This window comes from Homo sapiens, chromosome 15 (assembly GCF_000001405.40).
Source record: "Homo sapiens chromosome 15, GRCh38.p14 Primary Assembly".
NCBI lineage: Eukaryota > Metazoa > Chordata > Mammalia > Primates > Hominidae > Homo > Homo sapiens.
This window is the reverse complement of record NC_000015.10, coordinates 74,408,257-74,434,247: the sequence shown is the minus strand read 5'-3', so window position 1 is coordinate 74,434,247 and position 25,991 is coordinate 74,408,257. Positions and strand designations below refer to the sequence as shown.

At 57.9% G+C, this 25,991-nt stretch overlaps 1 protein-coding gene and 1 non-coding gene across 5 annotated transcripts, besides 13 other annotated features; both read left to right on the top strand.

Moving 5' to 3' along the window:
- Window positions 148–657: a silencer, noted in NCBI's record as "silent region_6651". NCBI's record gives its function as "represses an Ori minimal core promoter by ATAC-STARR-seq in GM12878 lymphoblastoid cells {active_cell/tissue: GM12878}" and the evidence as "EXISTENCE:reporter gene assay evidence [ECO:0000049][PMID:35858748]".
- Window positions 290–24,959, top strand: SEMA7A (semaphorin 7A (JohnMiltonHagen blood group)). Of its 4 annotated transcripts, none has more exons than NM_003612.5 (14): window positions 290–507; window positions 15,296–15,447; window positions 15,939–15,980; window positions 16,279–16,371; window positions 16,573–16,657; window positions 16,803–16,913; window positions 17,534–17,673; window positions 18,263–18,447; window positions 19,302–19,410; window positions 19,503–19,701; window positions 22,236–22,363; window positions 22,538–22,692; window positions 22,892–22,953; window positions 23,263–24,959. In NM_003612.5, exons 1-14 carry the CDS (start codon window positions 330–332, stop codon window positions 23,622–23,624), a joined length of 2,001 nt encoding a protein of 666 aa, NP_003603.1. In that variant the 5' UTR covers window positions 290–329; the 3' UTR covers window positions 23,625–24,959. The 4 variants fall into 4 exon arrangements, with proteins under 4 accessions (NP_003603.1, NP_001139501.1, NP_001139502.1 ...); NM_001146030.3 differs by lacking the exon at window positions 290–507 and adding an exon at window positions 544–658; XM_047433177.1 differs by lacking the exon at window positions 290–507 and adding an exon at window positions 13,521–14,009.
- Window positions 708–857: a silencer, noted in NCBI's record as "silent region_6650". NCBI's record gives its function as "represses an Ori minimal core promoter by ATAC-STARR-seq in GM12878 lymphoblastoid cells {active_cell/tissue: GM12878}" and the evidence as "EXISTENCE:reporter gene assay evidence [ECO:0000049][PMID:35858748]".
- Window positions 1,008–1,127: a silencer, noted in NCBI's record as "silent region_6649". NCBI's record gives its function as "represses an Ori minimal core promoter by ATAC-STARR-seq in GM12878 lymphoblastoid cells {active_cell/tissue: GM12878}" and the evidence as "EXISTENCE:reporter gene assay evidence [ECO:0000049][PMID:35858748]".
- Window positions 4,307–4,406: an enhancer, noted in NCBI's record as "active region_9775". NCBI's record gives its function as "activates an Ori minimal core promoter by ATAC-STARR-seq in GM12878 lymphoblastoid cells {active_cell/tissue: GM12878}" and the evidence as "EXISTENCE:reporter gene assay evidence [ECO:0000049][PMID:35858748]".
- Window positions 4,447–4,526: an enhancer, noted in NCBI's record as "active region_9774". NCBI's record gives its function as "activates an Ori minimal core promoter by ATAC-STARR-seq in GM12878 lymphoblastoid cells {active_cell/tissue: GM12878}" and the evidence as "EXISTENCE:reporter gene assay evidence [ECO:0000049][PMID:35858748]".
- Window positions 5,147–5,236: an enhancer, noted in NCBI's record as "active region_9773". NCBI's record gives its function as "activates an Ori minimal core promoter by ATAC-STARR-seq in GM12878 lymphoblastoid cells {active_cell/tissue: GM12878}" and the evidence as "EXISTENCE:reporter gene assay evidence [ECO:0000049][PMID:35858748]".
- Window positions 10,130–10,760: an enhancer, noted in NCBI's record as "H3K27ac-H3K4me1 hESC enhancer chr15:74715829-74716459 (GRCh37/hg19 assembly coordinates)". NCBI's record gives its function as "activates a minimal SCP1, AML or CMV promoter by ChIP-STARR-seq in naive H9 embryonic stem cells {active_cell/tissue: H9 hESC(naive)}" and the evidence as "EXISTENCE:reporter gene assay evidence [ECO:0000049][PMID:30033119]".
- Window positions 11,026–11,320: an enhancer, noted in NCBI's record as "tiled region #521; HepG2 Activating DNase unmatched - State 1:Tss". NCBI's record gives its function as "activates a minimal TATA promoter and a strong SV40 promoter by Sharpr-MPRA in HepG2 cells {active_cell/tissue: HepG2}" and the evidence as "EXISTENCE:reporter gene assay evidence [ECO:0000049][PMID:27701403]".
- Window positions 12,024–12,655: an enhancer, noted in NCBI's record as "H3K27ac-H3K4me1 hESC enhancer chr15:74713934-74714565 (GRCh37/hg19 assembly coordinates)". NCBI's record gives its function as "activates a minimal SCP1, AML or CMV promoter by ChIP-STARR-seq in primed H9 embryonic stem cells {active_cell/tissue: H9 hESC(primed)}" and the evidence as "EXISTENCE:reporter gene assay evidence [ECO:0000049][PMID:30033119]".
- Window positions 21,598–22,098: an enhancer, noted in NCBI's record as "H3K4me1 hESC enhancer chr15:74704491-74704991 (GRCh37/hg19 assembly coordinates)". NCBI's record gives its function as "activates a minimal SCP1, AML or CMV promoter by ChIP-STARR-seq in naive H9 embryonic stem cells {active_cell/tissue: H9 hESC(naive)}" and the evidence as "EXISTENCE:reporter gene assay evidence [ECO:0000049][PMID:30033119]".
- Window positions 22,099–22,599: an enhancer, noted in NCBI's record as "H3K4me1 hESC enhancer chr15:74703990-74704490 (GRCh37/hg19 assembly coordinates)". NCBI's record gives its function as "activates a minimal SCP1, AML or CMV promoter by ChIP-STARR-seq in primed H9 embryonic stem cells {active_cell/tissue: H9 hESC(primed)}" and the evidence as "EXISTENCE:reporter gene assay evidence [ECO:0000049][PMID:30033119]".
- On the top strand, window positions 22,816–22,891 carry MIR6881 (microRNA 6881). Its single transcript, NR_106941.1, has one exon. It is a non-coding gene; the product is annotated as a microRNA 6881 (primary transcript).
- Window positions 24,508–25,008: an enhancer, noted in NCBI's record as "H3K4me1 hESC enhancer chr15:74701581-74702081 (GRCh37/hg19 assembly coordinates)". NCBI's record gives its function as "activates a minimal SCP1, AML or CMV promoter by ChIP-STARR-seq in primed H9 embryonic stem cells {active_cell/tissue: H9 hESC(primed)}" and the evidence as "EXISTENCE:reporter gene assay evidence [ECO:0000049][PMID:30033119]".
- Window positions 24,605–24,864: an enhancer, noted in NCBI's record as "active region_9772". NCBI's record gives its function as "activates an Ori minimal core promoter by ATAC-STARR-seq in GM12878 lymphoblastoid cells {active_cell/tissue: GM12878}" and the evidence as "EXISTENCE:reporter gene assay evidence [ECO:0000049][PMID:35858748]".

Below are 25,991 nucleotides of genomic sequence, written 5' to 3'. Positions count from 1 at the left end.
TTCTACGCCAATCTTTTTACGGGGTGCGGGGAGTGGAACTGAGGCCCAGAGAGGGGATAGGGCCTGCCGCCCCTGGCAGAAGACCACAAGTCTGGCTTGTCCGCAGCTGGGCTTTCCCCGTAGAGTTGCCCGGGAGAGGGTGGCGAAGGTTCCCCCAGCAGTTCCGCTCTCGCTCAGGAAAGCCAGTGAGGCGAGAAAAGGCTGCGAGGGGCGGGGGGAGGGGCGGGGTGGGGTCAGCGCTGGCTCCGCCTCCTGGCGCTTGGGTCTGCCTGCGGCCGGGCGCTGGCTCAGTCTCGGCTGATTGCCGCTGTCGCTCCCGGGGCCACGGGATGACGCCTCCTCCGCCCGGACGTGCCGCCCCCAGCGCACCGCGCGCCCGCGTCCCTGGCCCGCCGGCTCGGTTGGGGCTTCCGCTGCGGCTGCGGCTGCTGCTGCTGCTCTGGGCGGCCGCCGCCTCCGCCCAGGGCCACCTAAGGAGCGGACCCCGCATCTTCGCCGTCTGGAAAGGTAGGCGGCGCCGCGCGGCCGGTCAGGCGCGGGATCAGACGCTGCGCGGGGCGGGTGCGGAGTGTGCTGCACCCGGAGGGAGTGCGTGCGCGCAGCTCTGCGGGTCCCGGGCTGTCCCCGCGCTGTCCCCGCGTGGAGCGTGTGGGTTTGGGTGAGTGTGTGTGAGTGTACACGCTGGCACACCAGAGCCGGCTGTAACGCTGCGGCGAGCGAGCGGCGGGGGCCGGAGCCCCGGCTAAGTCGCACCAAGTCCCTGGCAGCCAGGAGCCGCAACGCCCGGGCGCCAGGGGAGGGGGCGGGCCCCTCTCTCGGCCCCGAGCCACTCTGGGTCCTCTGGCTCGGGGGCTTCGGCGGAGGACCTTTCCCCGCCTGGGACCCCAACCCGGGTACCCTCCTTTTGAGCTGCGGGCTCTGCTGGCGCGCGGGGCGCAGGCTGGGCCGGCAAGGGGGGCGCGGACCCCTTGCCGCCGCCGCCGCGCTTCGGCAGCGGGAACAAAGACCCCGCCGCCTGCCCCCGCCCCCGCCCCGGCCCGGAGCTCGGGCCAGGCAAGGGGGTGGGCATCCTGCAGCGAGCGGCGGGACATGGTGCGGTGCGGCGGCTTGGGGTACCAGGGCGCTGCCTCAGCAATGCCGGGACCGGCCGCTCCCCCCTTGCCCGCACGTGGCAGTTGTCACCAGAAATCGGCTCCAGCGTTGGGGGGCAGTGCCCGTTGGGTGGGGCACGGCCGTTGGGACCCCCAGGCGGTGGATCTAGGGCGGGGGTGCAGCCTTTAGGCCAGGGTAGATAATAAGAACCTGGGGGACTGGAGTCTCCCCCAGGGCACCTCAGTTTAGACCCTGTACTATGGGACAGAAAGCCGGTTAGGCGGGGGTTTGAGGCTTTCTGCCGCGAGGAACTGATCTCCCCTCCCCTGCATTGCACACAAATGCCTCCCCGCCCCCAGTCCGATTCGGCTCTGTCCCCAAATTTGGCGTGTCTGCGGCCCCCCTGTCGTGATGGTGGGGGACTCGCAGTGGGGGCTGGGGGAACTGGTCGGGTCTGGCCCCACCGGGAGCCTTTTGATGCCTTTGGCAGTTTGCAGGGATTGCGGGAGTCTGAGCATTATCTGGGGCAGGTATTATTAGCAGAGGGGAAAAAAAACCATACACAAAACGAGTGGCCCGAACTGCCGCAGTAGCTGAGGGAATGTGACTTGCCCAAGGTCACTGAGCAGTGTGGGAGCCCAGGTGCAGGCAGGGGCTCTGATCTGGCACAGGACCAGTCCAGGTTCTGGGTTAGGGAGGGGAGAAGGATTTAGGTGGTTCAGGGACCATGAATGAGGTGCTCTGGGGACCAGCTCGGCTACCCAGCCTGAGGTGCTCCTGGAGGAAGCCGAGCAGTGCTGCTAGAGCTCCGGCCGCCTGTACATGGAGGAGGCCTGCACACCCCTCTGCCATCCCAGCTCCAGCCCAAGCTTCCTTTGCCCTCCCAGCAGCTTTGCCTTCCCTCAGTCTCCTTGGCTGTCTTGGACATCATAGCGTGTGGGCACTCTGGAGGGGACAAATGGCCACATCTGAGTGTTCTGGAATCTTTCCCTCCATCAAACCCCTTGCATTTTGACTCTGTTTGCCTGTCCCAAAGTCTTCCCATGACCCCCCACCCCCACCCCACTTAATGCACACCCACTTCTTAGCACTTAATGCATACATCCCATCCTGGGCACTTAGTTCCCACCCTGAGGCTATTTAAAGTTGCTTTCAGTCCTCTTACCCACTTTTCGAAGCTCCCAGCACAGCTCCATGGCCTACCCCCCCGCCCGCAGTTCACTGCTGTAGCCACACTGGCTGTGCCCTCTGCTTAGTAATGCACTGTTGAGCCCCGCTGGCTGGGGTCTGCCAACCGTTCACCAGTCTTGTCCAACGACAGTCTGTGGTCTCCTTCACCAGTGCCAGGTGCCCCACTGGCCAGACAGGCCCTGCCATTCACCTGCCCCCCACCCCCAGGGCCACCAGCTGGTGATGGTGTGCCCGACTGACAGCTGCCTCCTGTCTCCTGTGGGGTGACACATGGCAATCGGACAGGAATGGGCTTGGGTAGGACAAACCCAGGAACAGGGTAAGAGGGGGTCTTTCTGGAAGCCTAGAGCTCTGTCTACCAGTGGTGGGTGGGAGTATGGTGGTATCCAGGAATGACAAAATCAGGGATGGTGGTGGTTCTGGAGCCATTTCTCTATGAGGCATAGATGGGGGTTTTAGTTTTGAGTCAGGACAGCTGTGGGGACTGGAATAGGTATGGAAAGTTCTTTATTTTCTGCTGCTTGGATCCCCAAGTTCTAGAGAAAGATTAAAGCAGGGAACTCTGAGAGGGGCCCAGCCTGCACTGATCAGGGAGATTGCTGCCTCTGCAGCTTGATGAAAGTCTGGCACAGCGTAGCTCAGGCCAGGGAGAGAGATGGGCCATCATGTACCTGCTGGGTGTCCTTGAGCTCCACACTTGTCTTTGACCCTTAGAGCCTGCCAGAGCAAGAAAGGCTGTAGGGATTGTCCCCCAAGGGCTGTCACTGACACATGGGCCAGTCAAGGATGTGCATGTGTGGTCCTGATCTTCCTGTAAGCAGGAACTGTAAGGGAGTAGATTGCAGGTGAGGGCTGGGGCTTAGCAGGAGGTTGGCATGCGTTTGTAAGCTGTGCACCCCTCTTCCATTTTATCAGTGGTTGGAGGAGCTAAAGAAGGCTTGGAACCCCAAGGTCAGAGGTGAACCAGCCTGTCCATGGGGAAACAGAACCCATATCCCCAGTCTCAACCTGCCCGGCTGGTTCTGCCCTCCCTCGCTTTTGTCCAGTGAAACAACGGGATGTTATTGTTGACTTGGTGGCTGCTGGGGAGCCATTCTGGGGCTGCTCCCCAGGGCAGGAGGTTGTTGTTACCTCCTCCAGGGGATGAGGTCACATCTGGGGCTTCCCAAGCATCAGCATTTCCAGTGGAAATCCTTGCCCCCTTGGGGACTTAGATGTGTTCATCACCTTCAAGGTGAACTCCCTCCACAGAGTCTCATGGTGGGGGGGCAATTCCCCGGAGGAGAGGGGGAGTTTCCTAAGCCAAGAGAGATGCTTGGTGAGGTCACCAGGAGCTTCCTACCAAGCTCTGTGACCCCTCTGTCCTGGACAGTGAAGATTCTGAGAGCAGGTCCGGTGGAATGGACGCTGGCACAGGTCCAATGATGACCATGGTATAGGGGAGAGAGCTGGGAGGTCGGGAGCCTGGTTCAGGCTGTGACCTAATTTGCTCTGTGACTGGGCAAGTCTTTGCCTTTTACTGAACCCCAGTTTCCCCAAATGCCCAAAGAGGGTAGGGGAGGGGGCTCATCCTTTTCTGAGATTTAATGTCTTAGGATTTCTCTCTCTCTGGGATGGGAGGGGCTGGGCAGAGTCTGTGGTGGCCTGTTTAAATCTTAGATTTCGAGAAATCTGGAGGAGAAATTGAAACCTGGGAAGTCAGGGGAAACCCTTAAGTTCGCGTTCTTTCCTATCTTTTTCTCTCGTGGGCCAAAGGCTGAGGATCATTTGGAGGAAATGGATCATCAGCATGTGCCCTCAAGGGTGGACATATTCATTCAGCAAACATTTGCCGGGGCCACCCTTGTGCTGGTCTTGGGGATGAGCTTGGGGATCTGGTGATGAGGAACAAGATGATTCCGTGCCCTTGTAGACTTCTCAGTGTAGATGTAGATGGGCAGATAAACCTGCAGGTACAACAGAATGTGTAACAGAGAGCAGTTATGGGCACTGAGGAGATGCCTAACCCAATTTTCCCAATCAGGGAGGGCTTCCTGGAAGAGGGAGCAAGCTGAAATGGCAGGAGGAGGAGCCAGCTGGGGGAGGGAAGGAACAGGAGGAAGCACCCCACTTAGTAGGATTTTAAACCCAAGAACTTACAGCTAGGACCACAGAGAGGAGAGAAGCCATGTGAGGGGCCCCCATGTGAAGAGGCGTTGAGTCAGCCTGGGCCTGGGGGCTCCCGAAAAGTTTGAAACTTGTCCAGATGGGCATAGGTGAGGGGATACCTGTCATCCTATGACTGGCGCAGCAGTGAGGAGGAAGGACGCACCCACTGGAGAAGGGCCGTGGCAGGCAGGGAAGGCCTCTCGAGTGCTGGCAAGGCCATAGCCCCGTCACAGTTCCCTGGTGGGAGGCTGGCTCTGGGTCCAGGGAGACCATGGCTTTCCCCATTGACTCCTGACCGCAGGACAGTCTCCAGGTGAGAAGGTCTGTCCCTCAGCTCTGTCTTCTCCTGCTCTTCCTCTGCAGAGATGGAAGGAGCATGGAGGTGGCAGGGTGGGGGTGGCATGGATAGGTCACTATCTGGGCTGAGGGTGGCGCCCTGGGGGAAGCAGGGAAAGCTGGGCTCTGTTTTTTGAGGAGGGCCAAGCAAGGTGGGATGTGAAGCTCAGCCCAGGGGGCAGGTCTGGCAGCCCTCAGGGGGCAGTAGCTGGAGTAGATGGGCCACTAGCTGATAGCCTGTCCACCCCCAGCTTCACACGGCTCTGTCACAAGAGACTGACTGCACTTCCCCTGCTTTGGTCGGCAGCTCTGGACTGAAAAGTTTCCACTTCTCTTGATTTCCTTTTTTGGCCCAGCGTGGCTGCCCCAGGAGCCTTCCTTCGCCATGGTTGGGGGAGGAAGGGGCCCTTAACCTGTCCTGCCTTCAGAAGAGCCAGGGTTCCGTACCCTTGCAGGGAGGGCCAGCCACCAGGTGTATGGCCAGCTGTCCTGTCCTCAGGGAACCAGGCAGGCCAGAAAGAAAGCAGGGGGATGGAGGGCCACGGCACCTTGTTGGGCCCTGCCTCCTCAGAGGACAGAGTTCCCCCTTCCCTAGCCAGCCAGGCCTTGAGGGACTGTCCCCTCTCTGCCCCGAATGGTATGGGGTGGCTCTCCAAGCCCTTTATTCTCCCTGGCCCTGGCCTTGCCATCTCTCCAGATCTGTGCCCAGCCTCCCGGAGGACCTCTGTCCCTATGCTGCACCCCATCCAGAACACATGGCACACAGCTGCCGCCTTCCCCAGGCCCTGCATGGTGGCCTGGCCCCACTGCCTCCTAGACTCCCACAGTTCTTCCCTCACTGCTCCCTGGCTCCGCCTCCTCTCTGCACCCCACTCACCCTCCTCCTCCTTTCTGCCCAGAAAGGAGGCTGCTGGTTCTTTCTCAGTTCCTCTGAGGAACCTTCTTGGATGACCCCAACCCACACAGCCTGACAGCGCGAGCTTAGGATGTCAGAAAAGAAATGTCAGAGATTAGCTGGGCCAGCCAAACATTCCACAGATGGGGAAACTGAGGCTCAGAGATGACAGGGACTGGCCCGAGATCACCCAAAGAGGCAGAGCTGGGACCGGGGCTGAGTCGTCTGAGCCTGCTTCTGCCCCAGCTCTCAGCCTGTTTCCAGCTTTCTGTCTGCCATCATACTCTGTCCCAGGCTGGGGGCCCCTTCAGTGCCTTTCCTCCTCTGCTAGCCCAGTTGGGCCCAGACTCTTCCCGCCCCAGTGCTGTCTGTTCCCAGGAGCCACACCAGCTGTGAGTGTCCTCTCTTCAGGACCTTGGATTTGGACCAGCTCCATATACCTCTTCTGGTCTTTCCTCAGGTGGGTTGGGCCTCAGGTCCCAAGGACAGGTTGATCTGTGTCCCGGCTCGGGCTAATCAGGTTTTAACTGTCATGACAGCCTGGGATTATGCTGATCCTGCCATGCCTTCTGCACCCCATGCTTCCAGCCAGAGGCTTGGGCTCTGTGCCAGCACCCCTGGGTGACCCCTCATCATGGAGGGCAGCCAGCCTAGGTCTGTGTTCGGCTCCTCTGGGGGAGAGGCAGGAAGAGAAGCCCTGGGTTTGCCCTTGGGGAGCCCCCACATTCCTGGAGAGGTGAGTCTTCTGCCTGTGAAGTAGGGCGGACCCCTGGGGAGGTCAGGAATGACCTGCAGATGTAGCCTAGGACTGTGACAGGAGGTGAGAGCAGGAAAGGTCAGTGTGGGATGGTGCAATCAAGGAAGGCTTCCTGGGGGAGGAGGAGGAGCCAGGCTAGAGCTAGGGGCAGGAGCATAGGGTGGGGGCAGAGTGCAGCATAGACAGCTATTCATATTGTTGTTTGTACAGAGTCTCACGCCTGTAATCCCAGCACTTTGGGAGGCCAAGGTAGGCAGATCAGTTGAGGTCAGGAGTTCGAGACCAGCCTGGCCAACATGGTGAAACCCCGTCTTTACTAAAAATACAAAAAAATTAGCTGGGTGTGGTGGCACACGCCTGTAATCCCAGCTACTTGGGAGGCTGAGGCAGGAGCTCTGGCCCAGCCTGTCGAGGAAGGAAGGTCACTGTGATGACTTCTGCACTCCATTGGTGGCCCAGGAATCTGTTCTAAGATACCTGTCCCTCTGGCATGGGAGTTTGGCCTGCCCCAGTCTTGCTTCTCTCCACTGTCTGAGCTGCTCCCTGGGAATGGAAGACTTGGAGCAAGAGGAAGCCTGGTCCTCACCTTCAGGGCCCCATAGGCCAGATGAAATCCCATCAGACAGCATGATCTGAGCGAAGATGGTGGTGCCAGATGGTTTGTGGTACAAGGTCGAAGGTACGGGCAGTGAGGGCTGGAGCAGTCTGGAATACTTCCTGGATCCAAGGGATTTAGCTACATTTTCAAGGACAGGTAAGATCCATGTGCACAGAGAAAAGGAGGAAGGTCAATCCAGGGAGGGGAGAACAGGAGCAAAGTGCAGAGATGGAAATGAGCCATGGCAGAGCTGTGCAGAGATGAGGTGGGCCTTGACTGCCCTGCCCTGAGGTTTTGGGCCCTGCTTGGATGGGCAGTTAGGAGCCATGGTGGGTCCTTGAGCTGAGGAGTGGAGGTGAGTGTTTTCGCCAGGGCTGGCTGAGTGGGGACCTGGCTGGTGAGCACACTCTGCCCTTCACTGTGGTCAGCTTCAGAGCATGCAGTACTTTTTTTCTTAGAGACAGGATCTCACTGTCTCCCAGGCTGGAGTACAGTGGTGCATTCATAGCTCTCTGCAGCCTCTAACTCCTGAACACATGTGATCCTTCTGCCTTGGTCTCCCGAAGTGCTGGGATAACAGGCATGAGCCATGGCACCCGGCCCCACAGAGTACTTTATGTTCTGAGCGAGATCTTGGGAGACTTGTCTTTCTAATCAGTCACTCAGGACCGGGGCCCCACGCTGCACCTCGAGAAGATTCCTGCCCCACTGTTGTAACTTAGGATCTTTAAGATGGAGAGCACCTCTTCCATGATTAAGAGAGAGGCAGGTGGAAATAAAGATTTTGTTACTAACAGGTCTTGAGGGATACCTGGTGTACCTGAAGCCACACACAGGTGGAGGTCAGGGAGCATGTGCAGGGTGGGGGGATCTATGGGCCAGCATCTTTATGGGGTCCATGGTGTTATTAAAACAAGTTTTCCACAGGGAGTTTGTTTTGTTGTTGTTGTTGTTTTGAGATGGAGTCTTGCTCTGTCACCCAGGCTGGAGTGCAGTGGCGTGGTCTCAGCTCACTATAACCTCTGCCTCCTGGGTTCAAGCGATTCTTCTGTCTCAGCCTCCCAAGTAGCTGGGAGTACAGGCGCACACCACCATGTCTGGCTAATTTTTTTGTATTTTTGGTAGAGATGGGGTTTCACCATGTTGGCCAGGCTAGTCTCGAACTCCTGACCTCAAATGATCTGCCCACCTCAGCCTCCCAAAGCGCCGGGATTATGGGCATGACCCACTGTGCCTGGCCTCCATGGGGAGTTTTAATTGGTGGGTTTACAGCAAGCAGTCATGAGTTCCAGGAGGTCATGTTGTGACTTGAGACAAGGTCACTGGCCTATCTGCACAGTCCATGCGGGCTGTGGGACAAGGTCAGCAGGACCAATCAAGTGGGCTGTATGTAGCCATCCCACAGGGAAGCAGTCACCAGGAGACGACTGTCTACGGTAGATATCTGGATTGAGCACATGGAGGAACTGGGAGGAGGTGGGGAGCTGGAAACGGTGTCAAGGTTGACTGAGCCCTGCTTCTAGTGTGAGAAAACCCAGCTTATATTCAAAACGGATGCCAGGGCAACATCAAAGCATAGGAATTCACTACATTCACCTGGGCCTGCACACCTGTGCTCACTTGCACACACTGTCTTCAGGGTGTTACGGGCAGAGGTCAGGACTTCATTAGCCAAGTAGCCTCTAACTGGGCCTCACCCTCGGTAGGCTTTGGTCTCCTCATCTGTCTGGGAAGGGCTGACCTTGGAAGCCTCCAAGGGCTCATCTCTGGAATACGATGTTATAAGCACAGATTCTGGAGTCAGCTTGCCTGAGTATGAACCTCTGCTCCACCCCTTACTAGCTGTGTAATGCTGGGTAAGTTACTCAGCTTCTCTGTGTCTCATGGTCCTCATCTGCAAAATGGGGATAATAAAAGAACCTACTTCATGAGAGTTCAGTGATGATTAAATGAGTTAATATATCTAAAAATCATTTGGAATAGTGTTTGGCACGTAGTAAATGCGATGGAAGGGTTGGGTGGTAGGGGCATCATCATCGTCGTCATCATCTTCCTCCTCCTCCTCTGGCATCTCTGGTTTCTGATGGAATGCAGCCCTGGCAGCCCAGCCCCTGCCAGTTCTCCCTAATGGGCTTTGCTGGCTGGCTGCCCTTGCTCAGTCTCCCCTGCTGGTTCAGGCTAAGGCTAAGACTGGGGAACCTTCTGTTTCTCAGCAGTCTTCCACCTGCCTCCCTCCCTCCACTTGGGGTTGTGTAGCCATTCTCCGCCCTCTCCCCGACCCCTGCCCTGGCTGTGGGCCCAAGGGCAGGCCCTGCACCGCTACCCTTTGTCTGCTTTGAAGGAGCCACCAGCGACTTCGGCCCCACTCTGGGGCTTTTGGAACCTGCTGGGCTGGAGAACAGCTGGAAGGTAGATGGGACATGATGTTTGTCCTGGGCTTCCGGCCTTCCCTGGGCGTGGGCTCAGGGCATCTTACCCACTCCAGCTGGGCCTCAGTGCCAGCCTTCCTTCCCTGAGTCCCTGAATCCTGCTCAGCACAGCCTCTCACCAAGGGGCTTGCTTTCCACACTGTCCCTTCTCCCTAGGACTTTGCCCCAGACAGTCTCCCCAATAGCCAAACCTTCTTCTGGTCCTTTGAGCACAGTGGTGCCATGGGGAGAGCATCCAGACCTTGGTGGCTTGGAAGGGCATTAGTTTTCCTGTTTGTAAAACGGCAATACAGGTTGTCCTGCCTTCTTTGCAGGGTGGCTGGAGGTTTGGTGGGCTGGTCAGTGGAAGCAGATGAGAATGTCAGTTTCTTCTGCTGCCTCCACTTCCAGAAAACTGTCTGACTTCTCTGGCACTCAGAGAGTCACACTTTCCCAAAAAGACCCATGGACTTCACCCTGATTGTTTTGTGATTTGTTTCAAGAATCCTGGTGGGTCATAAAACCCAGGCCCAAACAAGTACCAGCACCCACCCTGACTCGCACCCAGCTAATCCACAGGGAGGAAAATGAACCCAGGAAGGCCCAGCCCCAATCACCGTCACAGCCAGCCAGCTGTCCAGCCACCAAAGAGATAATGAGGCTTCTTGGAGCCAGGGCTGAGCCACACATGAGATATACTCCCCTCCCACCCACAGCTGACCTTGGTGGGTGGGAGGATGCTCCCCTTTGGCCCAGCACACAGCTCGCTCTTCTCATAGCTCATAAACAAGTTAGACTTCTCAGTCCTCCATGAGCTGAGTGCTGTCTCGAGGCCCCACCACCTGCCCCAGCACACAGGCTCTGCCCCTGCCAGGCGACTAGCTAATCTAGAACCTAACCCTGCCTGAGAGTTGCCAGGACCCACCTGCAACCATGACCTATCCTTAGCACCGAGCCGGTGCCACCCTGGAAACCAGGCTTCTCACACCCTCTTCCTGGCCATATCAGGAGAGACAGAAACATTTGTTCCTGTATTCCCACCCCTAGTGGAAGGGTTTCCTCTACCACTCTGACATGCACGGCACCTACACTTCCACCATTAGTCACTCCTTTGGATTTAAGGCTTTGATCACTAAAGGCCCCTAGGAGATCAGGGCCTCACCTGGAAGGTGGGTGGGCGGGTGATTCCCTTTAGTTATCAGGTTAGTGACTCGGCACCTAGTGAGCAAGAGAGGGAAGGGTAGAGTAGGGATGATTCAGGGAAGTAGGGAGAGGCTGAATATACAGCTTTTTGCAAATCAGAGGCTCTCCAGGAAGCCCAGGATGTGATCCTGGAGAGAAGCAGCTGGGTAATGGGTACTGGAAACTTGGAGCTTCCCTCGCTCTGTGTCCTTGGGCCGGTGGTACAGCCTCTCTGGCCTCTGTGTCCTTCAGTTCAATGACTGTTTAGATCCTCTCCCTTCCACCTTGACATGTGGATGTGGGATTCCAAAGGGTGGAGAGGCTGCAGGCTAATTCCTAGGCATCACGTGGGCCTTCCCTCTACTCTCTTTTCCAGACACGTAGTTGGGCGAGGGTGTGAGGTAGGCCTGGCAGTGCAGGGGTGGGGGCACAACTGTGGGAGGACGCTCCTGCCAGATGTGCTGGCTCTCCAACCTGAGGTCGGCCTGCTTTCTGCTCTTTGGCCCGGGGCCTCTCTGACTGCCTGACTTAGGCATTCTCTGTGGGGGTGCCCACATTCCTGCCATTTTCAGAGCCTGACTCTCTGCCCACTTTCAAAAGGCTCCTTGAGGTTACATTCAAGGCCCACTGGGTCAGTGGGTCAGGTTGCAAGGCTGGCTTTGCCAGACCAGAGCATGGGACCCAGCCCCTTCATGGACAACAACACCTCCCACTCTGCCCTCCCCTGGAGCTGCACTCCTCTTTCACAAACAACAAGAGTATGGGGACAGCGGGCCAGACGGTGACAGCACCAGAGTGAATGAGAAGAGGAAACGTGCTCCACCAGGCAGGCCTGAGTTAGGAAATGCATGCCAGAGGCCCAGACTTGCCACAGTCGGTCAGCTGCTGGGGTGGTGATCGAGGGTAGGGTCCCTAAGGAGTCAGGCCCCATTCTTTCCAATGGGATCAGAGCCCTGTGAGCACCCGGCCCTGCGGCTGTGTCTGGTGGAGGTTATCTCCTACAACCCAGCCATCCTTGCAGCCCTCCTATCTGGCCGGAGCTGGGCCTTGCTGGCCCTGCCACCATGAGAAATGGTACTCAGGGGAACTATGGAGTCCGGCTGGGTACGGGGCAGCCTGAATGTGCTTTCTTGGTCCAGCACGAGTGAGGATTGGCTCGGAATCACATGGGGCGGGAGGTGGGTTGTCTTGTTCCTGGCCTGCCTCTGGGCTATGCCCTCCCCATATGTCCCTAGCCCCCTCCCCTACCTGAGCCCCTGGTTATTCTGGGAGCTTTTAGCTACCACTTAGCCACTAATGCGTCAGGCTGGGGAGTGAGGGGGGGACACGGTGCCAGACGGTGCTCCTTTTAGACAAGCAGGATGGGAAGCAGGGGGAGCCAGGAGGTGGGGGACGCCAGAGGATGGGGAGGCATTTTCCACTCCTGGCCCTGCTCGTAGGTTCAGGCAGCAGGGGAGAGTGGTGGGCAGTGGGTCAGTGTGTCCTTGGACAGGCTGCATCTTCCCTCCCCCATCACACGTGGGCCTCAGCTCACCTTCCCGATTCTTCTCATTAGGACTCTGCCAGGCTGCAGCGCATGGCCTCTGTCCTCCATACAGCCACCTTCCCCACCTTTGCTCAGGTTGCGTCCTCTGCCTGGCTTTCCCTCCCGGCCTGTTCAGGGCCCATCCAGCTTTTATCTACCTCACCTCTCCGTTTGGGTTCATAAAGCATCACAAAGAAAATGTTCAGGGATATGATACATACTCCCTTGGCCTGGCCTTTTTAGGGGTAGCCCCTGGCCTTGCTCAGCCCCTGCCTGGGCAGAGACTCGAGGCCTGGCCCTGATGGCTTGGTGCTGCCTTCACTTCCAGGCAGCCCTCCTGCCCCTTAGCCCCCAGCCCCCGCTCCTGCCAACCTGAACAAAGCTTCCTTTCATGTATTCATCGAGCTGCTGCTGCTCGACACTTCCCGGGCACAATCAGGCCTTTTGAGGGCCTCAGGCGGTGCGGGAGCCCAGGCTGGGGCTGGGGTGGAGAATGGGCCAAGGCCTTGTCCTGGGGCTGAGCTGGTGTCATTCCCTCTAGTCCATACGCATCACCAAGAACAGAGGTGGGAGGGCCAGGAACCTGGGGGTCATGGGAGGCCGTGGTCCTGGGCTCCTGTTCGTTTTCCTGCAAAATGGGACGAACAGTCCCTGCTTCCTCCACCCTAGCCATTGTGGCTAGGGTTTGAAGGGAACTGGGCTCAGGCTTGCAGATCCGCATGGGATTGTCCGGGCCCTAGTGCTGCAGCTCCTACCCAGGGGCCAGCAGCCCTCACCCTCCCTTCATGTCTTCAGCAGATACTTTGTGGGCAGCCCTGGGGTCCATGCTAAGACAGTTTTGCTGGAGAGCTGTGGAAGTTTTCTGTGGTGTGGCTGTCTGACCCCTCAGATGTATTCCCAGGGTAGGGCCAGACCTCCCCCTCAGACCTTGCTCTCCAGGACCCAGTCATGTCTCTGCCATCAGGCTCGACTCCCCAGGGCAGGACTGTTTTCCTCTTCTCTTCAACAGCCCTGCAATTCCTAGACCAGGGTGCCCCCACCCAGAGTCCTGTCTGGTGCCTCTTTTCCCTTGAGTAGTTGTACATTGGCCTTGCCGGCCCCCTCGGAGACCTGGGCCTGTGGCCTTGGTGCAGGAGTGGGGCTAAGGTGACTGATGAAGGTGGCTAGCACAGTCTGACGGCTAGAACTTTTCTGCTTTGACTCCCAGGGACTATGGATCTCAGGTCCTAGCCCAGCATCTCTAGATGCAGACACGCACCTTTTCCTGGCTGCCAGTCTGGCTATCGGTGGATGGGAGGGGAGCAGGAGGGGAGTTGGGGCGGCAGACTGTCTGGATCTCTGGCTGGGCCACAGAGGATGGTGGCTGCAGTTTGGGCTGCGGGTGGAAGGGGAGTTACGGGAGCTGAGTCAGGAAGACTGTGTCTGTGACCCCAGCACTCTAATTTTATCCCAGGAAGGGAGGGGGAGCAGGGCAGCACCCAAGACCTGCCAGCTCTCCCTCCCTCCCACCGAAGTGCCAGTACCTCTCAGCCCTTGCTCTGCACATCTCGGGCCTACAGGGAGGGAGGCTTGGGGGCCAGGGAGGGCTGATATCCCCGGAGCTGTTCAGTTGGGCTGTTTGTGATGTGCACCAGGAGAGCCACACCACCCAAGGACAGTGAGCTCAGCACTTCTCTCTGTAGCCTGCCATGCTGCTGAGAACTGATACTGCAGCCTGGGACAAGCTAATGTGTCCTGCCTGCTGGTGTGACCTTGGCATGTCTCCCAGGGTACCTCAGCATTCTTCTCTGCACAGTGCGCCAGGCCACAGAAGAGGTGAAGAATGCTCACTTCCGGGGGTGACCTGGCCATGAAGGGATGTTTCTTAAAGAATGAAGGTGTGGTGGCACAGTGTGTGGTCCAGCTGCTCCTTGCCCCTGTTAAATGCAGAATCAATAGGGATGGCTCCAATGGGAATAAGAGGGATCGGGGGCAGAGTTGAGGAAATGGTAGTTCTTTTTGGTCAGAGCTGGAGCTTGGGTGTCACTGCCAAGCTGGCTGCCCCAGAGTTTCCTGCAGCTGAAAAAACAGTGGTCAGACCCAGTTCCTAGGTGAGGCCCAGGCTGGTCAGAGGTGGGAAGATGCTGGGTGTGGCTGATTGCTGGGGGCACAACCACAGGCCATCCCATCCCTATAATTTACTCCTGCAACCAGGACAACCTCAGCAGTGTCACTGGAGATGAGACACCTCCCCAGAGGCAGTGGCTGCAGTCAGTTTCTTTTTTGGGGAAAATTTTCCCGGTCAGCCCTTCTGCTGAAAGTCCCAGGCTGTGCTCTGTGAAGGTTCCCCTGTCCCAGAGTTGCTGGGGAGGAAGAGCCGATCTTCACCCCCCGGAGAGCTAGCATCCTCATGGGTGAAACCAGGCCAGAGTGGGCCATGGAATAGAGTCCAGCTTGGTAGGCAGGAGTGCAGGCTCTGGTTCAGGGTCTGCTACTGACCTGCTTCCGTGTGCCCTTGGGCTGCCCCTCCCTTGGCCTCTGTTTTCCCATCTGTGAAATGGGACGGAGTAGATGTTGAGATTCCTTTCCTCCTCTAGTCTAGTGCTCACTAAGGGGCTGGGGATGGGCCAGGAGAGGTTGGAGAGGGATTCCTGAAGGAGGAGAAGGGGTTCTGAGCATTGTGATTCCTGGGAACCTGGACTCCAAGGGGGGTGCTTGAAGGCCCTGCTGCCTGCTGAAAGGCCCGGGGTTGGGGGGCGCTGCTTGCTTTGGCTTAGGGCAGCAGAGAACCTCCCAGAGCATGGCCAAGGAGCCCTGGTCCTCCTGCCTTAGCCCAGCCCTCAAAAGTGTGTGCCAGAGGAGGGGGTCTGTTCCCCCAAGAGGTCCCTAAATCCTTCCCCACTCTGAGATCACACATACTGTGAAGGAAGGAGAGGCTGCCACACTAGGGGAGGGGCCGTGCTGTGGGTGAGGACAGCTGGTTGCTGGAGCCCACCGGAGGATCTCTTACTTCTCCTGTCCTTGACTCTCTGAGTCTGGGTACCACCCCAGCCCAGAGCTTGTCTGACGCCCTGCCAGGACCCTGAGCACCAAGCACTGGTTCCAGTGTGCCATGTGGAGGGGACCCAGAGTCTTCTCTCTCGGGACCTGGCTTCAATGTTTCTACTAATTGTCTCCTCCTCAGGCCATGTAGGGCAGGACCGGGTGGACTTTGGCCAGACTGAGCCGCACACGGTGCTTTTCCACGAGCCAGGCAGCTCCTCTGTGTGGGTGGGAGGACGTGGCAAGGTCTACCTCTTTGACTTCCCCGAGGGCAAGAACGCATCTGTGCGCACGGTGAGCCTCTCTCTTCCCCCAACACCCCCCCTACCCTCTTATCTCCCCTCTGGCCCTGCCAAGGGTCCTCAGGGAATCCGAGGGAGCTGGCTTCTCTTCCTAAACTGCCCCCACCTCCGTATCCTATAAATGGCTCCTGGGGGAGGCTCCCTAAAGGTAGTCCAGATTGGAGTGGGGAGCTGGGGCGGTGTGGAGAAAAACAGGAGCTAATGGGCCTGGCCAGCTGGGCAGCGCTGCTGCGGAAAGCCCAGGCTGGAAGCTGGGCCCCAGAGCCCATGCCTGGTCTTCTGAACCCTCTGGGCCTCAGCTCTGGATATGAGACCCTGTTTGACCTCAGGTAGATCACTCACCCTCTCAGAGCCCCAGTTGCTCATCTGTCAGATGAGAATAATGGTTGCTTCCTTTGGGGCTTATCCTGAGGCTGTGTGGAAAGCATTTCAGGGGTACCTCACCCCTGGCAGATTGAACTAATGCTTCTCCCCTTCCCCCAGGTGAATATCGGCTCCACAAAGGGGTCCTGTCTGGATAAGCGGGTGAGTGGGGGAGGGGGTATGGAGGGGTCTGAGCCACTTGGTAAAGGGAGAGGAGACCCTGAGGGTCTAAGGAAGGAAGCATGGCCCTGCCCCACGAGTCCCAGACTGATGGGGAGACGTGGTCCTCTGTGCTTAGGGGATGGCGTCAGCTGCACACACTCTGGGCTGTCCCGGGAGGCTGTCACCTATGCTAAGCCCTTCTGACACCTTCTTCCCTGATCCTGGGGGTCCTAGTGCTAGGCTTGCCAGGGCCTTCCAGCAACCAATTTCTCTCCTCCCTTCTCTCTTCCCCGGGCAGGACTGCGAGAACTACATCACTCTCCTGGAGAGGCGGAGTGAGGGGCTGCTGGCCTGTGGCACCAACGCCCGGCACCCCAGCTGCTGGAACCTGGTGAGAAGGCTGCTCCCCATGTGCCTGATCAGCTCACCTTCTACTGCGTGGGCTTCTGCCCCTCATGGTGGGAAGGAGATGGCGAGACTCCAATGCTGGCCTTGCCCTGGGAGGATGGGGCTCCTGGCCGAGAAACTGGCCGTCATGGGAGGCAGTGGCTGTGGGATTATGTGGCCATCCAACCCTCTGGATCTCCCACAGGTGAATGGCACTGTGGTGCCACTTGGCGAGATGAGAGGCTACGCCCCCTTCAGCCCGGACGAGAACTCCCTGGTTCTGTTTGAAGGTAGGGCAGTGCTGGAGCAGGCGCCCCAGGGGGATGCTTCTGAACTGGGCTGGGAGAGGAGTGGTCAGCTCTTTGTCCAGTGTCCGGAGGAGGGACTTCCAGGAGCTGCCTGCCCTTACTCATTTCTCCCTCCCACTGACCCCAGGGGACGAGGTGTATTCCACCATCCGGAAGCAGGAATACAATGGGAAGATCCCTCGGTTCCGCCGCATCCGGGGCGAGAGTGAGCTGTACACCAGTGATACTGTCATGCAGAGTGAGTCAGGCTCCGGCTGGGCTGAGGGTGGGCAAGGGGGTGTGAGCACTTAAGGTGGCAGATGGGATCCTGATGTTTCTGGGAGGGCTCCCTGAGGGCCGCTGGGGCCATGCAGGAAAGCAGGACCTTGGTATAGGCCTGAGAAGTTAGGGTTGGCTGGGAGCAGAGGAACAGACAAGGTATAGCAGTGGGATGGGCCCAGCCCTCTTCAGGAACACAAACAGAGGGAGCCCCAGACCCAGTGCAGGGTCCCCAGGAGCCAAAGTTTATCCTCTGCTGAGTTCACGTGGAGGCAGCCCCCAACTCCCTCCTCATCAGGGCTCTGCCAATTGAGCAGAAGTGACATAGGGGCCCCCAGGGACCTTCCCCCAGTCCCCAGGCATGAAGTCATTGCTCCTGGGCCGATGACATCTTTGTAGGAAGAGGGCAAAACAGGTGTGGGGTGGAGGTGCAGGGTCTAGGGCCCCTCGGGGAGTTGGACCTGATGTTCTGAGTCCTATTCCAGATCTGATTTGCCATGGTTTGTGCAGACCCGAAGGAGGGAGGAGAGTGTGCAGGGTTGGGATGGTCTCCCGGGCAAGCTTCCCAGCCTTACGCCCACTCGCCTCTGTCCCTGGCAGACCCACAGTTCATCAAAGCCACCATCGTGCACCAAGACCAGGCTTACGATGACAAGATCTACTACTTCTTCCGAGAGGACAATCCTGACAAGAATCCTGAGGCTCCTCTCAATGTGTCCCGTGTGGCCCAGTTGTGCAGGGTGAGCAGGGGCGTGAGGGCTGCTGGCTACGTGTCTGTGCATGAATAGGCCTGAGTGAGGGTGAGTTCTGTGTGTCCGTGTGCATGTAGAAGTTGTGTGGATGTATGAGTGGGTCTGTGTCAGGGACTGTGGGAGCAGCTGTGTGTGCATGGAGCATCATGTGTCTGTGTGTGGGTAAAGGTGGCTGAGCTCCTGTGCACGTATGATGGCGTGTGAGCGTGTGTATGATGGGGTGTGTGTGTGTGTGTGTGTGTGTTTTGCCTGTGTGAATGTGCTGTGCCACGTGTGTGGGTGTGTGAGTCAGTAAATGTGTGTCTGAGTCCGTCTGCTCTGTGGGGACCTGGCACTCTCACCTGCCCTGACCCTGGGCACTGCTGGCCCTGGGCTCTGGATCAGCCAGGCCTGCTTGCTGGAGTCTCATCTGGAGACCTGCCCTGAGTCCTGGGGCACCCCCGGCAGGTCCTGGCCCCTCACAGCCTGCCTTCCTCCTCTGGGCCCAGGTGTTGATATTGCTGGCAGTGGTTTCCTGGGGTGTGTGGGGAAGCCCGGGCAGGTGCTGAGGGGCCTCTTCTCCCCTCTACCCTTCCAGGGGGACCAGGGTGGGGAAAGTTCACTGTCAGTCTCCAAGTGGAACACTTTTCTGAAAGCCATGCTGGTATGCAGTGATGCTGCCACCAACAAGAACTTCAACAGGCTGCAAGACGTCTTCCTGCTCCCTGACCCCAGCGGCCAGTGGAGGGACACCAGGGTCTATGGTGTTTTCTCCAACCCCTGGTGAGTGGCCCTTGTCCTGGGGCCGGGGCTGGCATTGGTTCAGTGTCCAGTAGGGACAGGAGGCCTTGGGCCCTGCTGAGGGCCTCCCTGGTGTGGCAGGAGCAGGGGCTGCAGGCTCAAGAGGCTGGGCTGTTGCTGGGTGTGGGGTGGGGGGACAGCCAGTGCGATGTATGTACTGTTGTGTGAGTGAGTCTGCACTCATGGGTGTGTGTGCATGCCCTATATGCACACTCATGACTGCACTTGTGCCTGTGTGTCCCACCACCTGCTTGTGCCGAGAGTGGACACTGGGCCCAGGAGGAAGCTGCTGAAGCATCTCTCGGGGAGCTGGGTGCTATTACACCTGCTCAGGCACTGCCTGAGCCCGATAATTCACACTTCTTAATCACTCTCATTGATTGAACACACGGCAGGCGGAAGTGTTGGGTGTGTGTGGGGAGAGTTAGGGATAGAGTGGAGGAAGCCAAGACCCTGCTCTGTGGCTCCTGGGTGAGTGGGGTCCCCCAGGCTGGGAAGGGGTTGGGGGTCTGGCCTCCTGGGGCATCAGCACCCCACAGCCTGTGCCCAGGGAGGGCTAGAGAACTGCTCAGCCTATGATGGGGTTCCTCCTGCCTTGGGGTTGGGTAGAGCAGATGGCCTCTAGACTCAGTGATTCTGTAACAGGATACAAGTTTGTGGTTTTAAATTGCAGCACAAAGAAATTAGGCTGAACTCCTCTCCTTCCTCCTCTCCATCCCTCCCCATTTTCAGTGGTGGTTGGCAACTCAGTGCCAGGCACAAGGCTGGCCTGGGTGAGTGGAGGTGGATGGGTGGGTTCTGGGCCCCCCATTGAGCTGGTCTCCATGTCACTGCAGGAACTACTCAGCCGTCTGTGTGTATTCCCTCGGTGACATTGACAAGGTCTTCCGTACCTCCTCACTCAAGGGCTACCACTCAAGCCTTCCCAACCCGCGGCCTGGCAAGGTGAGCGTGACACCAGCCGTGGCCCAGGCCCAGCCCTCCTTCTGCCTCACCTCCCACCACCCCACTGACCTGGGCCTGCTCTCCTTGCCCAGTGCCTCCCAGACCAGCAGCCGATACCCACAGAGACCTTCCAGGTGGCTGACCGTCACCCAGAGGTGGCGCAGAGGGTGGAGCCCATGGGGCCTCTGAAGACGCCATTGTTCCACTCTAAATACCACTACCAGAAAGTGGCCGTCCACCGCATGCAAGCCAGCCACGGGGAGACCTTTCATGTGCTTTACCTAACTACAGGTGAGAGGCTACCCCGGGACCCTCAGTTTGCTTTGTAAAAACGGGCATGAAAGGTGTAAGGAATAATGTAGTTAACATCTGGTTGGATCTTTACATGTGGAAGGAATAATTGAGTGACTGGAGTTGTCAGGGGTTAATGTGTGTGGGTGTGGAAGAGTCAGGCAGGGAGAGCTTCCTGGAGGAGGTAGGGGCAAGAGGGAAAGGGGGATGGGAGAAAAGCAAGCACTGGGATTTGGAGGCGGAAATCTGGAGAGTCTGAGCAAAGCCAGGTGCACCTTTGGTCCAGATGTCTGACTCAGGGAAGAAGATGGTAGGAAGAGACGTGGCAAATGAGGAGGAGGGGCCTGAACCACAGGGATACTGGCCTCTGCCAGGCAGAATGAGGGAGTCAGGCCCTGCGCCTGTCTTTGGGATTGTGCAGGTGAGAGGAAACATTTGAGGAGTTGATGGGGCACAAATTAGGTATGAGGAAGGAGTTCCAGGGGGCAGAACCTTTGCCATCTCACAGAGGACAGGGGCAGCTTCTCTTCTTCCCTGGAGTAGGCCCTGCTGGGGGAAGCTGGGTGGAATGCCGTGGGAGATGCTCCTGCTTTCTGGAAAGCCACAGGACACGGAGGAGCCAGTCCTGAGTTGGGTTTGTCGCAGCTTCCCATGCCAGCTGCCTTCCTTGAGACTGGAAAGGGCCTCTAGCACCCCTGGGGCCATTCAATTCAGGCCCAGGCGCCCAACCTCAGTTGTTCACATTCCCCATGTGATCTCCTGTTGCTGCTTCACCTTGGAACTGTCTCGGCTTTGGTGACCTTGTAGGAAACTGGAACCCCAGCACCATTGTTTGGCTCCTGGAAGCCTTGGGGAGAGGAATTTCCCACAGGGCAGGGCCTGGGTCCTGATTCCCTGCCTCTTTACTCCCTATTCATCCCGGCTACACCCTTGGGCCCCCATCCTTGCTTGGCTCCAGTAGTGGCTGGCACAGCTGTTGTGGTCAGCCAGGGATGGCAGGGCACTGGGGAGCAGAAGAGGAGAGGTCACACAGTGCGGAACTGGGAGCAGGAGCTAGGACAAGGAAGGCTGGACTTGGGCCATGGATTCCCTTCCTGCAGACTTGGGAGGTGAGCACACTTGAGTGATTAGAGAAGGTGTCTTCGTTCTAAGGGCAGTGGAGGAGGCACCATTTTGGAGCCTGCATCATTCGTATTTGGGCTAGACTGAAAAATAGAGCTTTCTAAGTCCTCTGCAGAGAATGGGAGGCTCTCACAACTGGGAGAAGTATTGGCTCTTTTCCTGAGAATTTTGCCAAGGGTATGCTGTTACTGGGGCTGGTTTGGAAGGAGGTATAGGGCAGTATGTCTGTGAAGGCAGTGGCTGGGGTGGGGCCTTATCAGGCCCAAGGAGCATCTGGCCACATCTCAGAGTCCACAGATGAGGATCACGGATGTGTAGAGGAAACATCCTAGGCAGGCAATCATCTGACTGCTTTTTTGGGGCAGGTGATGCCCTGGGAAATTGGGAGGGAGGGAGAGAGGGAGGTAGGCTATTCTAGAAACTGGGAGAGCAGGTGAGGTAGGATTGGGAGGACCAGGGGTCAGGGTGCCCATTGGTCCCTAATTGTGAACGGAGAGAGCATTGGTCTAGGAGGCAGGCAGCTCGGTTATAAGACCTTGGGAACTCTTGATTTAGAATCCAAGATCCTTTTTAGATCTAAGATTTTATAAAATTAAGATATCCCCTAAGATCAAATGCAACGTGGAGTCCTGAATTGGATCCTAGAACAGAAGAAGGACATTTGTGGAAAAACTAGTGAAATCCAAATAAAGTCTGTAGTTTTGTTAATAGTAATGCACCAATGTCAGTTGCCTAGTTGTGACAAATATACCGTGGTTATGTAAGATGGTAACATTAGGGGGAACTGGAGAAGGGTAGATTGGAGCTCTCTGTACTATCTTTGCAACTTTTCTGGGAATCTAAAATTACTCCAAAATAAAAAAAAAATGTATTTAAAGTAAATATATTCCCTAAGAGTCCAGGAGGCAGGGGAGTTGTAGAAGCAGCTGAGTGGTTGGGCTCTGACAGATTTGGGTTCCAACTCGGTCTCTGCTGCTCACCAGCTGTGTGACCTTGAGCAAGTGGCTTAGCCTTTCTGAGCCTGATTTCCTTATCTGTGGAGTGGGGAAGATGACAGCCACCTCGCAGGGCTGTGGAGGGTTAAACGAGGTGATGCATGGACAGCAGCCGCACTGACCTTGCTGGTGTGGGGCTCCTGCTTCTGTTCTTCCCGTGCAGCCTTGGGAATGTTGGAGGCCGTATCCAGGGACCCCTGGGCCTCCTGGGATGGCCTCTCTGGATCAGCCTTGGAAGGTTCCAGGCTGCCCTTAGGCTCCCACATTCTTCCCCAGTCACGCTCTCCTCGCCCTGCCCACACCAGTCCTGTGACCCTTGCCTGAGTTGTGACTTCCCACCCCTCCCCGGCCTAGAGGAAAGCTGCCTGGCCCCTCAGTGGGACTCCCGCCCACTGACCCTCTGTCCACCATACACAGACAGGGGCACTATCCACAAGGTGGTGGAACCGGGGGAGCAGGAGCACAGCTTCGCCTTCAACATCATGGAGATCCAGCCCTTCCGCCGCGCGGCTGCCATCCAGACCATGTCGCTGGATGCTGAGCGGGTGAGCCTTCCCCCACTGCGTCCCATGGGCTATGCAGTGACTGCAGCTGAGGACAGGGCTCCTTTGCATGTGATTTGTGTGTTCTTTTAAGAGCTTCTAGGCCTTAGGGCCTGGACATTTAGGACTGAGTGTGGGGTGGGGCCCGGGCCTGACCCAATCCTGCTGTCCTTCCAGAGGAAGCTGTATGTGAGCTCCCAGTGGGAGGTGAGCCAGGTGCCCCTGGACCTGTGTGAGGTCTATGGCGGGGGCTGCCACGGTTGCCTCATGTCCCGAGACCCCTACTGCGGCTGGGACCAAGGCCGCTGCATCTCCATCTACAGCTCCGAACGGTACGTTGGCCGGGATCCCTCGTCCCTGGGAGAAGGTGGGCATGGGAGAGGGGGAGGTGTTGTCGGGCTGGAGGAGGTGGCGGTACTGGGCCTTTCTTGTGGGACCCTCCTCTCTGCTGGAACTGCACTGGGGTAAGGATAGGAGGGTCAGGTCTGCAGCCTTGTATCTGCTGATCCTCTTTCGTCCTTCCCACTCCAGGTCAGTGCTGCAATCCATTAATCCAGCCGAGCCACACAAGGAGTGTCCCAACCCCAAACCAGGTACCTGATCTGGCCCTGCTGGCGGCTGTGGCCCAATGAGTGGGGTACTGCCCTGCCCTGATTGTCCTGGTCTGAGGGAGACATGGCCTTGTCCTGTGGGCCCCAGGTACATGGGGCAGGATACAGTCCTGCAGAGGGAGCCCTCTTGGTGGGATGAGCGAGACGGGAGAAAAAAGGAGGACGCTGAGGGCTGGGTTCCCCACGTTCATTCAGAAGCCTTGTCCTGGGATCCCAGTCCGTGGGGAGGACACATCCTCCCCTGGGAGCTCTTTGTCCCTCCTCACGGCTGCTTCCCCACTGCCTCCCCAGACAAGGCCCCACTGCAGAAGGTTTCCCTGGCCCCAAACTCTCGCTACTACCTGAGCTGCCCCATGGAATCCCGCCACGCCACCTACTCATGGCGCCACAAGGAGAACGTGGAGCAGAGCTGCGAACCTGGTCACCAGAGCCCCAACTGCATCCTGTTCATCGAGAACCTCACGGCGCAGCAGTACGGCCACTACTTCTGCGAGGCCCAGGAGGGCTCCTACTTCCGCGAGGCTCAGCACTGGCAGCTGCTGCCCGAGGACGGCATCATGGCCGAGCACCTGCTGGGTCATGCCTGTGCCCTGGCCGCCTCCCTCTGGCTGGGGGTGCTGCCCACACTCACTCTTGGCTTGCTGGTCCACTAGGGCCTCCCGAGGCTGGGCATGCCTCAGGCTTCTGCAGCCCAGGGCACTAGAACGTCTCACACTCAGAGCCGGCTGGCCCGGGAGCTCCTTGCCTGCCACTTCTTCCAGGGGACAGAATAACCCAGTGGAGGATGCCAGGCCTGGAGACGTCCAGCCGCAGGCGGCTGCTGGGCCCCAGGTGGCGCACGGATGGTGAGGGGCTGAGAATGAGGGCACCGACTGTGAAGCTGGGGCATCGATGACCCAAGACTTTATCTTCTGGAAAATATTTTTCAGACTCCTCAAACTTGACTAAATGCAGCGATGCTCCCAGCCCAAGAGCCCATGGGTCGGGGAGTGGGTTTGGATAGGAGAGCTGGGACTCCATCTCGACCCTGGGGCTGAGGCCTGAGTCCTTCTGGACTCTTGGTACCCACATTGCCTCCTTCCCCTCCCTCTCTCATGGCTGGGTGGCTGGTGTTCCTGAAGACCCAGGGCTACCCTCTGTCCAGCCCTGTCCTCTGCAGCTCCCTCTCTGGTCCTGGGTCCCACAGGACAGCCGCCTTGCATGTTTATTGAAGGATGTTTGCTTTCCGGACGGAAGGACGGAAAAAGCTCTATTTTTATGTTAGGCTTATTTCATGTATAGCTACTTCCGACTGCATCTGTATGAAAATACCAAAACTACATGCGGGGGGGTGGGTGGGAAAGGGAGGGGCTGGGAAGGGATGGGTTGGGGAGCGGGGGTGATCCCAGTCTGAGGCTCCCGGGGATGAGATAAGAGTCTGGAGACGGGCATGGGTTCTTGGAGAGTGGCATGAGCTGGCTCTGCCCTGGGAGCCCGGTCTGAGGGGGACGTTGTTGGAGCCCCTAGTGTTGGGGGTGGTTATGGGAGGGGGTGGGGTGAGGGAAACGGGAGAATGAAGGAGAAAACTGAGCCCTAGTTTCACCGTGTTCATTTGGAAGGACGAGCCGGGTCCTCAGGGGGAGGTTCCAGGACTCTGCCCTTGGCGTTGAGGGTTGGGGGGCGGGGGGCCTCCTCCCTTCCTCTCAGCCCCCTTCCCCAGGGGCTGTGCTTCCATGCTCCTAGCCTCCCACCTTCGCTCAGGACATGTTATAACTTAGGCTAAACTGTGAAAATTCCGGTGGGGATGGCCTGGGCCGAGCTCTCCAGGCAGGCGGCCCTGCCCCCAGCCCTGTCCATCCATTTCAGGGGGGAGCTGGGCCCTTCTCCGGCTGTGTCTGGCCACCCAGGGCAGTGGCTGGGGCCAGTGGCCTTCCAGCTTTGGCCCCTGCACCTCTTCTCAATGCACTTTAATAATGTAACATATTACTAATAAACAAGCTATTTATTTACCTGCGCCTGTTCCTTGCCTGCAAAGCTGTCCTGGTCAGGGGGTGTTGGTGGGGGCTCCTGTTTATTACTCGCCACCCCCTGGCTGCGTGAGCATCACATGCATTCTTTCATGTCCTGGTTAGGGCCCAGGAGCCAGCTCAGCAGGGCTGTAGCTAGTGAGAGGCAGGAATGGGGACCTGAACCCACGACTCCTCAGCAGCGTGCTGCTTGCTCGAGCCTTGACCCCAGAGCCCCAATAGCACGTGCACCCCTTTTCCCCATTCCCAGCCTTCACCTCCCACCACTTCCCCCTGGAAGGCCTGGCCTGGGTCATGCTAGAAACAGCCTCAGGACTCCCTGCCTTCAAGGGGCAGTTCTGGAGGGCAAGCTGATCAAATGCGACCCTGTGGGATGCTGTGGCCTTGAGTGTGTGTGCAGGAGGCTGGTGCCGGCTGAAGAGATGTGGGAATGGGATTTGCTCCAGGCAGGGTAGGGGTCTGGGTGAGGGTTGGAGAGTAGGGAGGGACCTGTGGGGAGGGTTTATGAGTGATGAGGTAGGATTTGAGTTGTAGAAACTCAGGACTCCCTCCAAGATCAAGTAAATAGGTTTTAGAACACAGAAGTTTATGCAGGAAGGAGCCTCTGAGGCTGGGGTGGAAGGATGCAGGGGAGTTAGTTAGGAGGCTGTCTGGTGGCGGGTGGAGGTCAGGATGAGAGCAGTGGTCCTGGGATGAAGGGCAGGGACAGTAGGGAGCACTGCAGATAGAAGTCCAGATAGAAGCCCAGAGGCCTCCCCTCCCCCTTGTTCCCTTCTCTGTCCCCTGTCCCTGGAGGCAAGGACCTAGGCCTTTGGGGTCTGCTAGGCGTTTTTCCTGAGCAGTGACTGCTGGAGGGGTCCATGGCAGACTTGGGGCAGTTTACTTCTCTGTCCGAGCCCAGCTTCTGGTTGGCTCTGGCAAACCCCACAGGACTGGAATTGCCCCCACCCATAGTGCTCCCTCCCACTTCAGTTTGCTCTGCACTCTCATAGCCAGCCCATTCCTGAGGATTCT

What these genes read in the sequence shown, in the direction of transcription:
- SEMA7A (NM_003612.5), top strand. Translation starts at nt 330, where the DNA reads ATGACGCCTCCTCCGCCCGGACGTGCCGCCCCCAGCGCACCGCGCGCC. An exon ending in GGTGTTTTCTCCAACCCCTG is followed by an intron (nt 18,448 to 19,301) that starts GTGAGTGGCCCT and finishes ATGTCACTGCAG; the next exon opens with GAACTACTCAGCCGTCTGTG. An exon ending in TGTGCTTTACCTAACTACAG is followed by an intron (nt 19,702 to 22,235) that starts GTGAGAGGCTAC and finishes CACCATACACAG; the next exon opens with ACAGGGGCACTATCCACAAG.